The sequence below is a fragment of the Homo sapiens genome, chromosome 19 (genome assembly GCF_000001405.40).
Source record: "Homo sapiens chromosome 19, GRCh38.p14 Primary Assembly".
Taxonomy (NCBI): domain Eukaryota; kingdom Metazoa; phylum Chordata; class Mammalia; order Primates; family Hominidae; genus Homo; species Homo sapiens.
Genome location: NC_000019.10, coordinates 46,318,943 through 46,332,366, shown reverse-complemented (window position 1 = coordinate 46,332,366; position 13,424 = coordinate 46,318,943). Strand labels below are relative to the sequence as shown.

At 49.0% G+C, this 13,424-nt stretch overlaps 1 protein-coding gene across 22 annotated transcripts in view, besides 2 other annotated features; it reads right to left on the bottom strand.

Moving 5' to 3' along the window:
- Positions 1-13,424, bottom strand: part of HIF3A (hypoxia inducible factor 3 subunit alpha) — a 46,392-nt gene that overhangs the window by 11,067 nt on the left and 21,901 nt on the right. For 10 of the 22 annotated variants that reach the window (XM_005259152.5, NM_152795.4, XM_047439217.1 and 7 more), the window contains 5 exons: positions 11,806-11,924; positions 10,401-10,591; positions 6,728-6,832; positions 2,889-3,160; positions 1,094-1,211 (listed from right to left, as the gene is read on the bottom strand). In XM_005259152.5, the coding sequence (XP_005259209.1) occupies positions 1,094-1,211; positions 2,889-3,160; positions 6,728-6,832; positions 10,401-10,591; positions 11,806-11,924 (805 nt within the window). Of the gene's footprint in view, positions 1-1,093; positions 1,212-2,888; positions 3,287-6,727; positions 6,833-10,400; positions 10,592-11,805; positions 11,925-13,424 lie in introns of those variants that run through there. The other 12 variants (XM_017027132.2, XM_047439216.1, XM_017027134.2 and 9 more) reach the window with 4 other exon arrangements.
- Positions 11,290-11,789: an enhancer, noted in NCBI's record as "H3K4me1 hESC enhancer chr19:46823835-46824334 (GRCh37/hg19 assembly coordinates)". NCBI's record gives its function as "activates a minimal SCP1, AML or CMV promoter by ChIP-STARR-seq in naive H9 embryonic stem cells {active_cell/tissue: H9 hESC(naive)}" and the evidence as "EXISTENCE:reporter gene assay evidence [ECO:0000049][PMID:30033119]".
- Positions 11,790-12,291: an enhancer, noted in NCBI's record as "H3K4me1 hESC enhancer chr19:46823333-46823834 (GRCh37/hg19 assembly coordinates)". NCBI's record gives its function as "activates a minimal SCP1, AML or CMV promoter by ChIP-STARR-seq in naive H9 embryonic stem cells {active_cell/tissue: H9 hESC(naive)}" and the evidence as "EXISTENCE:reporter gene assay evidence [ECO:0000049][PMID:30033119]".

The following is a 13,424-nucleotide window of genomic DNA, read 5'->3' as shown; positions in this document are numbered from 1 at the left end:
AGACAGCATCTTACTATGTTGCCCAGGCTGGTCTCGAACTCCTGACCTCAGGTGATCCACCCACCTCGGCCTCCCAAAGTGCTAGGAATATAGGCGTGAGCCACAGCGCCCGGCCCTTTGGTTTGTTTTTGTACACCATTTATGGTCAGCCCACTGAGTGTCAGCTAAGGGCCTAATTTCCTTTAATCCTCATGGCAGTCCCGTGAGATGTAACTATTCCCACTTTCTGGATGAGGCAACTGAGGCTCCACGTGGTGACGTAACCTGCCCAAGGTCAGGTGGCAGTTACTGGGTGGCAGACCTGGGACTTGAACCCAGGTCAGTCTGATTCTAGTGTCTGCACTTTGAACTCTGCACTAGTAATCCAAGGCCAAGACCTGTTCTAGTTTGGGGAGGGGGTCCCATGGGAGCAGAGAAGATCCCTGCAGATACCAGCCACATGCCATTTCTCCCCTTAGCCTGCTTAATTTTTCCTTCTTTGCACTTATTGCCTTTTTTTTTTTTTTTTTTTGAGACGGAGTTTCACTCTTGTTGCCTAGACTGGACTGCAGTGGCACGATCTCAGCTCACTGCAATCTTCTGTTCCTGGGTTCAAACAATTCTTCTGCCTCAGCCTCCTGAGTAGCTGGGATTACAGGCATGCGCCACCATGCCCGGCTAATTTTGTATTTTTAGTAGAGACGGGGTATCTCCATGTTGGCCAGGCTGGTCTCAAACTCCCGACCTCAGGTGATCCACCTGCCTCGGCCTCCCAAAGTGTTGGGATCACATGCGTGAGCAACCGCGCCCAGCTGACTTACTGCCATCTTACATGTATTTGCAGAGTTTTTTTTTTTTTTTTTTTTTTTTTTTTGACAAGGTCCCATTCTGTCGCTCATGCTGGGGTGCAGTGGCGCAATCTCAGTTCACTGCAGAGGTTTTTAATACCCATTAGTGAAACTAGAAGATCAGGCTTTAGTCTCAGCTGGCCCACTGACTTTCTGTATGACCCTCAACCAGCCCCTGCCCCTCTCTGGTTTCCTATCTATAAAACAGTAGGTTTAAGCCAGCTAGGTAATGAGGGCCAGAGAATCCCATTAATCCCCCAACACACCAGGCTGAGAGGAAAGAGCAGAAAGTTTTCGTGTTCTGGGCTGGGGGACCTTTTGGGAGGTCTCACTCCCAGCAGCTCCACTCCCTCGTCCTCGTCCTCTGAGCTCTGGGCCAGGGTCCTGGAGGAAAACAGGCAAGAATCTCAGGACACAGCAAACCTGGGCAAGTGTGGATAACAGTGTAAGCAGGTGATGAGCATTCATTCACTCCCCTGAGCACCTATTTATTCCTTTAGTCATACACCCACCAGTCCATCCATCCATCCACCAATCCATCTTCTCATTCATCCAATGATCCATCACCCACCCACCCAACCTCCATCCATTTATCCTTCCATTCATCCACCTATTTATCCACCTAGTTGTCCTTCATCTATCCATCCATCCTTCCACCCAGCCATCCACCACCCATCCATCCATCCATCCATCCATCTGCCATCCATCCACCATCTGTCTGCCAGCCATCCACCATCCATCCATCCATCCATCCATCCATCCACTGATCCACCCATCCATCCATCTGCCATCCCATCTGCCATCCATCTGCCATCCACCATCCATCCATCCATTAATCCATTGATTCATCCATCCATCCATCTGCCATCCATCCACCATACATCTGCCAACCATCCACCATCCATCCATCCATCCATCCACCATCCATGCATCCATCCATTAATCCATTGATTAATCCAACCACCCATCCATCCACCATCCATCCACCATCCATCTGCCATCCATCCACCATCCATCCAACTATCCATCCATCCATCCATCCATCCATCCCTCCATCCATCCGATTCATCCATCCATCCACCATCTATCCTTCCTTTCAGCCACCCATCAATCCATTGACCCATCCATCAATCCTTCTGTCTACCCAGACATCCATCATTCATCCATCCATCCGTCCAGACATACACACATACATACATACACCCTTTCACCTACACATCCATCCATCTGTCCTTCCATCGACCTATGCATCCATCCACCTGTCCACCCATTAAAGTGCCAACTATATTCATTAATAATTCCCTCCCTCCCTCATTTAATAAGTATTTATCAGGCCCACTTTATAGCCAGTACCAAGCTGGGAGCCTTGGGAGATACCAAGATGTATCCATAAGGATAAGACCACTCTGGATTCGAAATGAGCACATGCTTGCAATTTAGTTCTAGACAGTTTCTTTTCTTTTTTCCATTCCTTCCCTCCCTCCCTCCCTCCTTCCCTTCCTTCCTTCTTCTTTCCTTCCTCCCTTCCTTCCTCTCTCTTCACTCTCTCTCTCTCTCTCTATCTTTTTTTTTTTTTTTTTCTTGACAGGGTCTCACCATTGCCCAGGCTGGAGTGCAGTGGCACAAGCACAGCTCGCTGCAGCCTCGATCTCCTGGGCTCAAGAGATCCTCCCACCTCAGCCTCCCAAGTAGCTAGGACTACAGGCATGCACCACCACACCCGGCTTAGATAGTTTCTCTGACACACGGCAATGTCTTCTAAACTCTGACAAAAATTGTCACCAGATCAGATATAACTATGTTCCAAAGGAGAGAGCCCTGGTTGACAGGTGGGATTTGGATAAACAGTGAGAGCAGTGGAGGGCACTCCAGAAGGGGTGTACAGCCTAGGCAAAGGCACAGAGATTGGCACAAACTTGGCATGTGCTGGGCCCACCGAGGGCCTGGCTGGAGCAGAGATCAGGGTTAGAGAAATGGTGAGGGATGAGGCTGAAGCAGGAGGCAGGGGCAAGACGGGGTGAGGGGATGCTGCCTTGATGTCCCCCCTTTACTGTGGCTCACCTCTTCCGAGCCCCAGCCATGGGAGAGGATGCTGAGGGGTCCCCTCTGGAAGGGCTGGAGCAGCTCAGCCGGGGGTCACTCCCCCAGCGGGGTAGCAGGGAGGGCTCAAGGGCTGGAGGTGACAGGCCATGGAAGCTCCGAGCACGGGGCCGGGGGACAGCCCCCAGAGGTCTGTGGTAGGCCCTGGGTAGCTGCTCGCTGGCGTTGAGCTGGAAGTCATCATCCATGGAGATGTAGGGGGCCAGCATCTCCAAATCCAGAGCATCAGCATCCTGCGGAGGGCAGGAGGGAGGTAAGAGGATGAGCCTTGGACTTGGGTGGACCTTGGCTGAAGTCCCAGCACCATCACTTCTGAGTTCTGTGCCTGTGGTCAACAGTCTGAGCTTCAGTTTCCTCATCTGTAAAATGGGTATAAGGACTCCCTGAAGAACATGTTAGAGAAATCCTAAACTGGGTCAGAAGCATGGTAGCTCACACCTGTAATCCCAGAGCTTTTAGGAGGCTGAGTCGGGAGCATCACTTGAGGCTAGAAATTAGAGACCAGTCTGGGTAACATAGTGAGACCCCCACCTACACAAAAAAGGAAAAAAATTAGCCAGGTATGGTGGCCCATGCCTGTAGTTCTAATTACTCAGGAGGCTGAGGTGGGAGGATTGTTTCAGCCCAGGAGTTTGAGGTTGCAGTGAGCATGATCACACCATCGCAGTCCAGCCTGAGTGACAGAGTGAAATACTGTCTCAAAAAAAAAAACAAACCTAAATGCCTCAAAGAAACCATTGGTCAAAATCTGAACATTGAGAAGACTCAGTGAGGGCTTAGAGAGAAGTGAGAAACATATCACTGGAAACCAGAGGAAAGAGAATTTTTGTCCTGTAGTGGCTGAAAGTTTAGCAACACTGTTGCCTGCAGTTATGTGGAAAGTAGAAAATATAACAAATACACGAGGTGATCCAGCTAAGATTCCCAGCCAGAGTGTTGAAGGGGCTGCCTGATTTCATCTTGTTACTTATAGTAAAAGGCAAGAAGAGAGAGAGATAAAAAAATATTTCTCCTAAAGGAAGAAATGTTAAACATGAAGGAGATAGTACTTGAAGGTTTTGAAGATTCTCAACCTCCTTGTGTAGTGAATAATTAACTTTACCCAAAGAGAGGTCTGGCTTTTGTCCCAGCTCCTGGAAGTTAACCTCTAAACCTCTGGAATGTTCTGAGTGATAGCAGTGTCTTTACTATTCACTGTGGGTCCTTTGGATAGTTTATGCTAACCAGGTGACTCATGGTGAGCCCCTAGATAGTTTTTGCTAATGAGATAACTCAGGATGGAGGCTGGCCATGCAGAAAGAACCACCATTGTGATTAGAGGGTTGGGGCTTTGGCCCGCACAAAATCAGCCGGATCCAGGGAAGGTAGAGGTAGCATTGGAGACTGAATTCAATTACATGGGCGGTAATTTGCTCAATCATGCCTATGCAATGAAACCCCAATAAAAACTCTGAACACTGATGCTTTGGTGAGCTTCCTGAGTTGGCATTACTCTCCACATATTGCTACATGTCAATACTGGGAGGACAACATGTCCCTGAGGAGAAGAAAACTTTCCATCTGGGACCCTCCAGTCCCAGATTCCACCTATGAATATCTTCCTTTGTCTGTTTCTGATCTGTATTCTTTCATTATAATAAAACTACAATCTTAAGTATAGCACTTTCTGAGTACCATGAACACTTCTAGCAAATTATCAAACTTGAGGGAGTCTACAGGAGTCTGGGAATCTCCACATTGGTAGGCAGCTGGTCTAAAGTAAGGGTGACCCTGGGGACCCTCAAACTTGTGTCTGATGTCAGAAGTCTTGGGCAGACTTGGCAGTCTGGAGAACCATGCCATTAACCTTGAGTTTGGCTGACTGCAGGAGCCCTCCAGATGGCAAATGATGCTAACATTAATAAGTGGTCTCTGAGCCAGCCTGGTGAAACCACATCTCTACTAAAAATACGAAAAATTGGCTGGGCATGGTAGTGGGCACCTGTAGTCCCAGCTACTCAGGAGGCTGACGCCAGAGAATCACTTGAACCTGGGAGTTGGAAGTTGCAGTGAGCCAAGATTGCGTCACTGAATTCCAGCTTGGGTGATAGAGTGAGGCTCCATTTCAAAAAAAAAAAAAGAAAAAAGAAAAAAAAAGTGGTCTCAGAGCAATGAAGAGCACCCTTGGGCCAGGCACAGTGGCTCACACCTCTAATCCCAGCACTTTGGGAGGTTGAGCCTGGGAGTTCAAGACCAGCCTGGGCTGAGACCCTGTCTCTATTTTTATATATATATATATTTTTTTTGGGACAAAAGTCTAGCTCTGTCATCAGGCTGGAGTGCAGTGGCACAATCTCGGCTCACTGCAACCTCTGCCTCCCTGGTTCAAGTGATTCTCTGGCCTCAGCCTCCCGAGTAGCTGGGATTACAGGCATGTGCCACCACACCTAGCTAATTTTATTTTTATTTTTAGTAGAGACAGGGTTTCACCATGTTGGCCAGAACGGTCTTGATCTCCTGACCTCAAGATCCACCTGCCTCGGCCTCCCAAAGAGCTGGGATTACAGGCGTGAGCCACCACGCCTGGCCCCCAGTTTTTTTTTAAAGTCCTAATGAAAGAACTTGTGATATTTTCCCATATGGATTTCAAAACTGCTATGGACCAGGGATATATGCATGCCCCTCTTACCCCTCCTTTTTGAATAGTAGTGTCTATTCCTGTCTCACCACTGTATATTGAGTATGTGGGTGACAGATGACTTGTCCCCATTAGTCCACAAGCCAAAATGTTGAGAGGAACTGTACTCAAGGAGCTTCCCCAGCACCAAGACCAGATTCAGATGATCAGATTCTGGACTTCAAGCTGATGCTGTAAGGGGAAGAAACTTTGGGAGACTTTGGGGGGCCTTGAGAGGTGGGTGAGTGTATTTTGCATGAGGGAGAGACATCAATCATTGGAAGTTCCCAATGATCCCTGCCTCTTGATGTTCACACTCTTATGTTATTGCCTCCCACAGTGTACAGGATTGATCTATATGACCAAAACAATATGGCAGAAGCGATGATTTGTCACTTCTGAGATTAGGCCATGAAAGACTGTGTCTTCAGTCTGGGACTTGTACTTTCTATCTCTCTACTTCTCCATTTGTCCCTTTTTCTCTTTGTTGGATTGTTTGCCTTAGGGAAGCCAACTGCCATGTTGTGAGGACACTTAGGGAGTCTATGTAGAGGTTCACGTGATGAGGAACTGAGGCCTCCAGCCAAAGCAAAGTGAGGGATTGAGGCCTGCCAACAACCTCATGTGTGTGAGCTTGGAAGAAAACCCTCTAACCCCAGATGACTGTAGCCCTGACTGAGAGTTTGACTTCAACCTCATGAGAGACTCAGCAAAAACCAGCAGATAAGGTGCTCCTGAATTTCTGATATTCAGTCACCATGTGACATAATAAATAGTTGTTGTTTTAAGGTGTTAAGTTTTTAGGCAATTTGTTACACAACAGTAGATAACTAATACATCATGCTGCTGTCATTTTATCTATGCATTCAATAAATCATCCATCCAAGTATCACCTATCCATTTTTCATCCAGCTATCAAAATATCCATCCAAACATTCATCCACCTACCCACCCATCTATCCATCCATTAAAATATCTGCCTAAACCTCATCCATTCATCCACCATCATCCACCTAATGAATACAATGGTCCATCCATCCATCCATTCATTCCTTTAACCATCCCACTACCCTTCTCTAAAGCCACATATGTGAATCCCCAGAACACAGGGCTGAGGATTACTCCCTTCCATGCCAGCCCTTACCTGAGCTATATCTAAATCTGTCTCCACTGCCTCAGTGTCTTTCCCGGAGGTGAAGAGTCTGTGCACATTCTCGGTGCCCACAGGTAGTTCATCTGGGAGATCAGCCTGTGGAGAGATGGAGTAGAAACTTCAGGAAATCTTGAGCCTGGGAGGTATCAACATTAAGACAGTCTGCAGCTCAAGGGTAGAAGTGGGGATCAAATGCCAGGCATCTGGGGCACAAAGGGGGTCCAACGGCAAATGCAGATGAGTTTTGAACCTGGGTGTTCAAAACTCAGAATGCCTGGGTGTACATAGATGGATGGGGCAAACATGGAAGTTCCAGTTAGAAGGATCAGAGCCTGGCTGGGCTCAGTGGCTCACACCTGTAATCCCAGGACTTTGGGAGGCCAAGGTGGGTGGATCACTTGAGGTCAGGAATTCGAGACCAGCTTGGCCAACAGGGTGAAACCCTGTCTCTACTAAAAGTACAAAAATTAGCTGGGTGTGGTGGCACACATCTGTGGTCCTAGCTACTAGGGAGGCTGAGGCAGGAGAATGGCTTGAGCCTGGGAAGCAGAGGCTGCAGTGAGCTATGATCATGCCACCGCACTCCAGCCTGGGTGACAGAGTAAGACTCTGTCTCACACACACACACACACACACACACACACAATATATGTGTGTGTGTGTGTGTATGTGTATATATATATATATGTATATATATATGTGTATATATATATGTGTGTGTGTATATATATATATATATAAATAAAAACATGAGCTTGAGGCCAAGACTTTTTTTTTGAAAGGGAGTCTTACTCTGTCACCCAGGTTGGAGTGCAATGGCGTGGTCTCAGCTCACTGCAACCTCCACCTCCTGGATTCAAGTGATTCTCCTGCCTCAGCCTCCCAAGTAGCTGGGATTACAGGCGCCCTCCACCACGCCTGGCTAATTTCTGTATTTTTAGTAGTGACAGGGTTTCACCATGTTAGTCAGGCTGGTCTTGAACTCCTGACCTCAGATAATCTCCCCACCTCAGCCTCCCAAAGTACTGAGAGTACAGGCATGAGCCACCGCACCCAGCCTGAGGCCAAGACTTTCAAACAAATCCTCTGGGGTTAAAGGTCTTGGAGCCTGGAGTTTAGTGGGGAAACAATGGAGAGTTCAGCTGTCTCAGGGGTAAAGGATGAGGTCAAAGGTCACAGTCTGTATTTCTCTGGAGAGAGGATATTTTCTTGGGGTGGAGAGTGGGGATGAAGACAGTCAACACTGGATAACGTGGACCCACTGAGGTCAAAGGTCAGACTATCTTCACAACAAATATTGATAGTAACTGGTATGATCTGTTGAGCACCGATAGGTGCCAGGCCCCTACTGAGTGCTTCTCATGAATACTGTCACTTAATGCTCAGAATAACCAATGATGTGGTGACATGTTATTATCTTTCTTTTATAGGTGAAGAAATTAAGGCCTCAAGAACTTGCTTGCCCAGCCAGGGTAACGTGGCTGATAAATGGCAGATTTAGGATTTAATCCAGGTCTGTATAAATCAGGATATTAGACACTTTGACTCTTTGAGGTCAAAGTTCAGAGAACTGGATGCTTAGTCACAAGCTGGAGTGGGAGGAGGGTCATCTGTGCCAGTTCCAAACATCCCAGGTTAGGGGCCTGATAGGGTTTGGCTGCGTCCCCACCCAAATCTCATCTTGAACTATAGTCCCATAATTCCCACACACTGTGGGAGGGACCTGGTCAGCGATAATTGAATCATGGGGGTGGTCTCTCCCATACTGTCCTCGTGATAGTGAATAAGTCTCATGAGAGCTGATGGTTTTATAAGGGGAAACCCCTTTCGCTTGGTTTTCGTTCTCTCTTGCCTGCCGCCATGTAAGACATATCTTTCACCTTCCGCCATGATTGTGAGGCCTCCCCAGCCATGTGGAACCGTGAGTCCATTAAATCTTTTTTTCTTTATAAATTACCCAGACTTGGGTATGTCTTTAGCAGCAGCGTGAAGACAGACTAATACAGGGCCTGTGGTGTTATTTTATACACACATATATATATATGATTTTGTGCATGGTTCCTGGGTCAAACTCCCATGGCCGTTGTCTTTTGTTAGAACAGTCTTTTATTAGAACAGTCTAGTAAAACAGTTCTAACAGTCTTTTGTTAGAACACTGGGTGTGTTAGGCCTCAGGAAACAGAACCTCTCCAGCCTTCTTCTGCCCTCGTTTCACCTGCCCAAAGGCAGGTCTCTAATCTTCCCCTGCCTTTTTGATTGTGGGTCATAAGACTGTCCCCAGAGGCCGGGCGCGGTGGCTCATGCCTGTAATCCTAGCACTTTGGGAGGCCGAGGCGGGTGGATCATGAGGTCAGGAGTTCGAGACCAGCCTGACAAACATGGTGAAACCCCGTCTCTACTAAAAATAAAAAAATTAACTGGGCGTGGTAGTGTGCGCCTGTAATCTCAGCTACTTGGGAGGCTGAGGCAGGAGCATTGCTTGAATCCAGGAGGCGCAGGTTGTGGTGAGCTGAGATCATGCCATTGCACTCCAGCCTGGGCGATAAGAGCAAAACTCCGTCTCAAAAAAAAAACAACAAAAAAAAAACCACTGTCCCCAGAGAGGGTCCTGCCCGATACCCTGGGGGAAGGAATGCTGATGTCATGAAGCTTCCATAAAAACCCAAGAGGACTGGGTTGGAGGGGCTTCCAGATAGCTGACCCATGGAGGTTTCTGGAGGGTGGTGCCCGGGACGGCATGGAAGCTCCGAAACCCTACATTCCTCCATACCTCACTCAATGTATCCCTTCATCCGTATCCGTGCAATATCCTTGACAATGAACCAGTAAACCTAAATAAGTGTTGTCCTGATTACTGTGAGCCGCTCCAGCAAATTAATCAAACCCAAAGAGCCAGGTACGGTGGCTCACACCTGTAATCCCAGCACTCTGGGAGGCCGAGGCCGGAAGATCACTTGATGTCAGGAGCTCGAGACCAGCCTGGCCAACATGGTGAAACCCTGCCTCTACTAAAAATACAAAAAATTAACCAGGTGTGGTGGCATGCACCTGTAATCTCAGCTACTTGGGAGGCTGAGGCAAGAGAATTGCTTGAACCTCGGAGGTGGAGGTTGCAGTGAGCCGAGATTGCGCCACTGCATTCCAGCCTGGGTGACAGAGTGAGACTCCATCTCGAAAATAAAAATAAAAATAAAAAAGAAATTCTGGAGGCCCAGACTTGTGACTGGTGTCTGAAGAGCAAAGAGCAGTCTTGGGGACTGAGGCCCAACCTGTGAAATCTGACACTATCTCCAGGTAGATGATGCCGGAATTGAATTGGAGGACACCCAGCTGGTGTCCGCTGCTTGGTGTGTGGGAAAAACTGCCCACATTTGGTCACAGAAGTCTTCTTCTGTGTTGACGATTGTTGCATTATTAGGAGAGCAGAGGAAAAACATAGCTTGAGAGAGTTTTTCCCTAAACAGAGCCAGACTCTGGAATTCTAACAATTGAAAAATCTGGATCTGCGTCTTAAAGGAACCTCAACCCCATCTCATCCCAACCTCCCCACTACACAGATGGAGAAGCTGAGGCCCAGAGAACAGTCAGGTTTAAGTCACAGGCCAAGACCCCCTGAGGGACTGAGCACTGGATGCTGAGGGCTCACATGGGTGGGATGGCTTACCGAAAGAGGACTTTGGGGGTGCCGTGTGGCCAGCGGGGTGCTGGGAGTGGCTGCTACTGAAGCCCCATCCAGGATGGGTCCCAGGAGGCGACGGAGGTCAGGGCTGCAGAAACGGCGGGGGTCAGCGGCCAGGGCAGCCTCGCTCAGGGAAGGCGGGTGCAGGAAGGCAAGGATCCGGGGGCCAGGGGTGTCTGCAGGACACATGGAGATGGGGAGGACACGGGCTGGTGACTGAGGGCCAAGGGCCAGAGCCCTCCATACCAACCCCAGGAACACAGTTGACATCTTCAGCAGGTCAGGATGGCCACTGTTCTTAGTGAGAGGGTAAGGAAGGGGCCTGGAGGACCCCTGCTGGGCCAGGTGTGAACTTTATTTTTATTTTTGAGATGGAGTCTAGCTCTGTTGCCCAGAATGGAGTGCAGTGGCACTATCTCAGTTCACTGCAGCCTCTGCCTCCTGGGTTCGAGCAATTCTCCTGCCTCAGTCTCCAGAGTAGCTGGGATTACAGGTGCCCGCCATCACACCCAGCTAAGTTTTGTATTTTTTATAGAGACAGGGTTTCACCATGTTGGCCAGGCTGATCTCAAACTCCTGACCTCAAGTGATCCGCCCACCTCGGCCTCCCAAAGTGCTGGGATTGCAGGCATAAACCACTGCTCCCAGCCCAGGTGTGAACTTCAGTGGCCAGATTGTGGTGAGGCTCTGAAAGGTCCGAGGGGAAGGGATTGGTGGCTCAGAACAGCATTTGGCCATTCAGCTCTGGGGAGCTTTCACCTTAGGAGAAAAGACTGGCCCCAAGCCCTCAAGGAGGCTGTAAGGTCCCCAGAGGTTAAGACAAGGCCCAGAGCCAGCTCTGAGCCAGAAAAGGAAAGGATATTATATCAGCAATCCCACCCCACACCCAGGAGCATGGGTGGCCAGCAACAGCTTGGAGAAGGTGAGGTCTTGAAGGATAGACTGGGAGGGAGGCTCATCCAGGATGGCAGGAGAGTGAAGGAAGAGGGAGAAAGGAGCCAGACTTAGGAGGATCGAGATTACTGGAAGCCAAAGAGCAGCAAAGCCAGAACAGGGAAGAGGCAGAAGCGTGGGGGCAATGTGGAGCCACAGCAGGATTTAGAGCAGAGGCCAGCAAGAGACTGAAGCAACCACCCCATAGCCACAGAAGGGGAGGGAGGACAGGAGAGAGAAGAGCATTCTAGGAAACTGCATGTGCAAAGGCCCTGAGGCACGAGGCTGGAGTGTTCCAAGGGCTCTTAGGAGGCTGTGTGTTTTGGAGGCTGAGTGCGCAGGGAAGGGAGGCAGGAGGCAGGTCCCACAGGGCCTGGTGAGCCATGTTAAGGTGCTTGGGCTTTCTCCCAAGGGCCCTGGGGACACAACCCCTCCCGGCCCCAGCCCTGCCCCATACCAAGGCTGTCCCCAGGGTTAGGGGTGTCCTTCTGAGAGGGGGCGCCCCGCTGAATGGGTCTGCGAGAGTGTTGCTCCGTTTGCTCCAGGGACAGCACCACTCCGGTCTCTTCCACCTGGCTGGGGTACAAGGCAGAAAGGGAGGTGGGAGTCAGGGAGGGTCCTTGGCTCCAGCCCAGAAAGCCTGTTCAGGTGATGTCCTATTACAGAAGGCAATGGCGCCCAGGGGCTTGGAGGGCATTTTGCAGAAAATAATTGCCCACATTTATTTGTCTCCTATAAGGGTTTCATTTCTGTTGACTGCTTTTTATTCTGACAGCATTTTATTTTTTTAAGACAAGGTCTCACTCTGTCGCCCAGGCTGGAGTGCAGTGGCGCGATCTCGGCTCACTGCAACCTCCGCCTCCCAGGTTCAAGCGATTCTCCTGCCTCAGCCTTCCGAGTAGCTGGGATTACAGGTGCAAGCCCCCATACCCAGCTAATTTTTGTATTTTTAGTAGAGACGGGGTTTCACCACGTTGGCCAGGCTGGTCTCGAACTCCTGACCTCAGGTGATCCACCTGCCTCAGCCTCCCAAAGTGCTATGATTACAGGCGTGAGCCACTGTGCCCGGCCTATTCTGACACCATTTTTAAAAGAAAGTTAAGTTTGTCCCTTCCCAAGCTCCTTCTGTAAAAGGAAAGGCAGAAAAAAGAGCTGGCATTTAGCACAGCCTGGGCAGAGAGGAGGAAGACTGAGGGAAGGGGGTGGGGCGGCACTGAAAGACAGAAGCGGGAGGAGACCTAGGAACAGAGAGAGGAGGCCCAGGGGCAAAGAGCGGGGTGAGCGAAAGGCTTCAGAATAACTAAATATTCTCTTTATAGATTTTTACTTATAAACATATTCTTAGAAAGGTATTGATGAAAAAATATATTTTTAACATAGTCTTCATTACATGACCAAATAGGAAGAATTCATAGGGCTGTAATTTTTATGAATAAGATTTTATTTATGCTGTTTCTATTCATAGATGTTTTTCATACTCAAGGGAACAGGTTTAGAAATACATCCTTATGTCCCTGGCACCTCCCTTCACACAGTCTCTGGCTGCAGAGACAATCTAAATGCTCGCTGTGCAAGTTGGCTTTTGGAGAGTTGGGTGGGGCTGAGGATCAGGCCCTCATTTGTATCTCATCTGCATAACCCCCTTCAGGACAGGAGGCAGGTGGGCCTGGTCTTCCCACCAGCTCCTTGAGAAGCTATGACCTCTCCCCACACTCAATAAACCCTCCCTGGGCTGGAAACATCCCAATTTAGGCTGGATCAAAGCCACCCTTATTCCCCTGAAAGATACAAGCACACACAATCGAACTTGTATACACACTCGGTACACACAGGCACAAACAGGAGCGCTCACATACACCTGAGTGCATATAGGGACACATATGCTCACATGCTCCATACACTTGGGCTCGAATATGTGCACGTGTGACACATTCAGTTAACTCATTCATCATTCCACAAATATATCCTCATCAAGCACTGCTGTGTAGTGGTTCACAGCAAGGACTCTGTAGTCAGTGGCCTGGGTTCAAATCCCAGCTCCGCTACTTACACAGTGGTGTGATCTTGAATATGAAA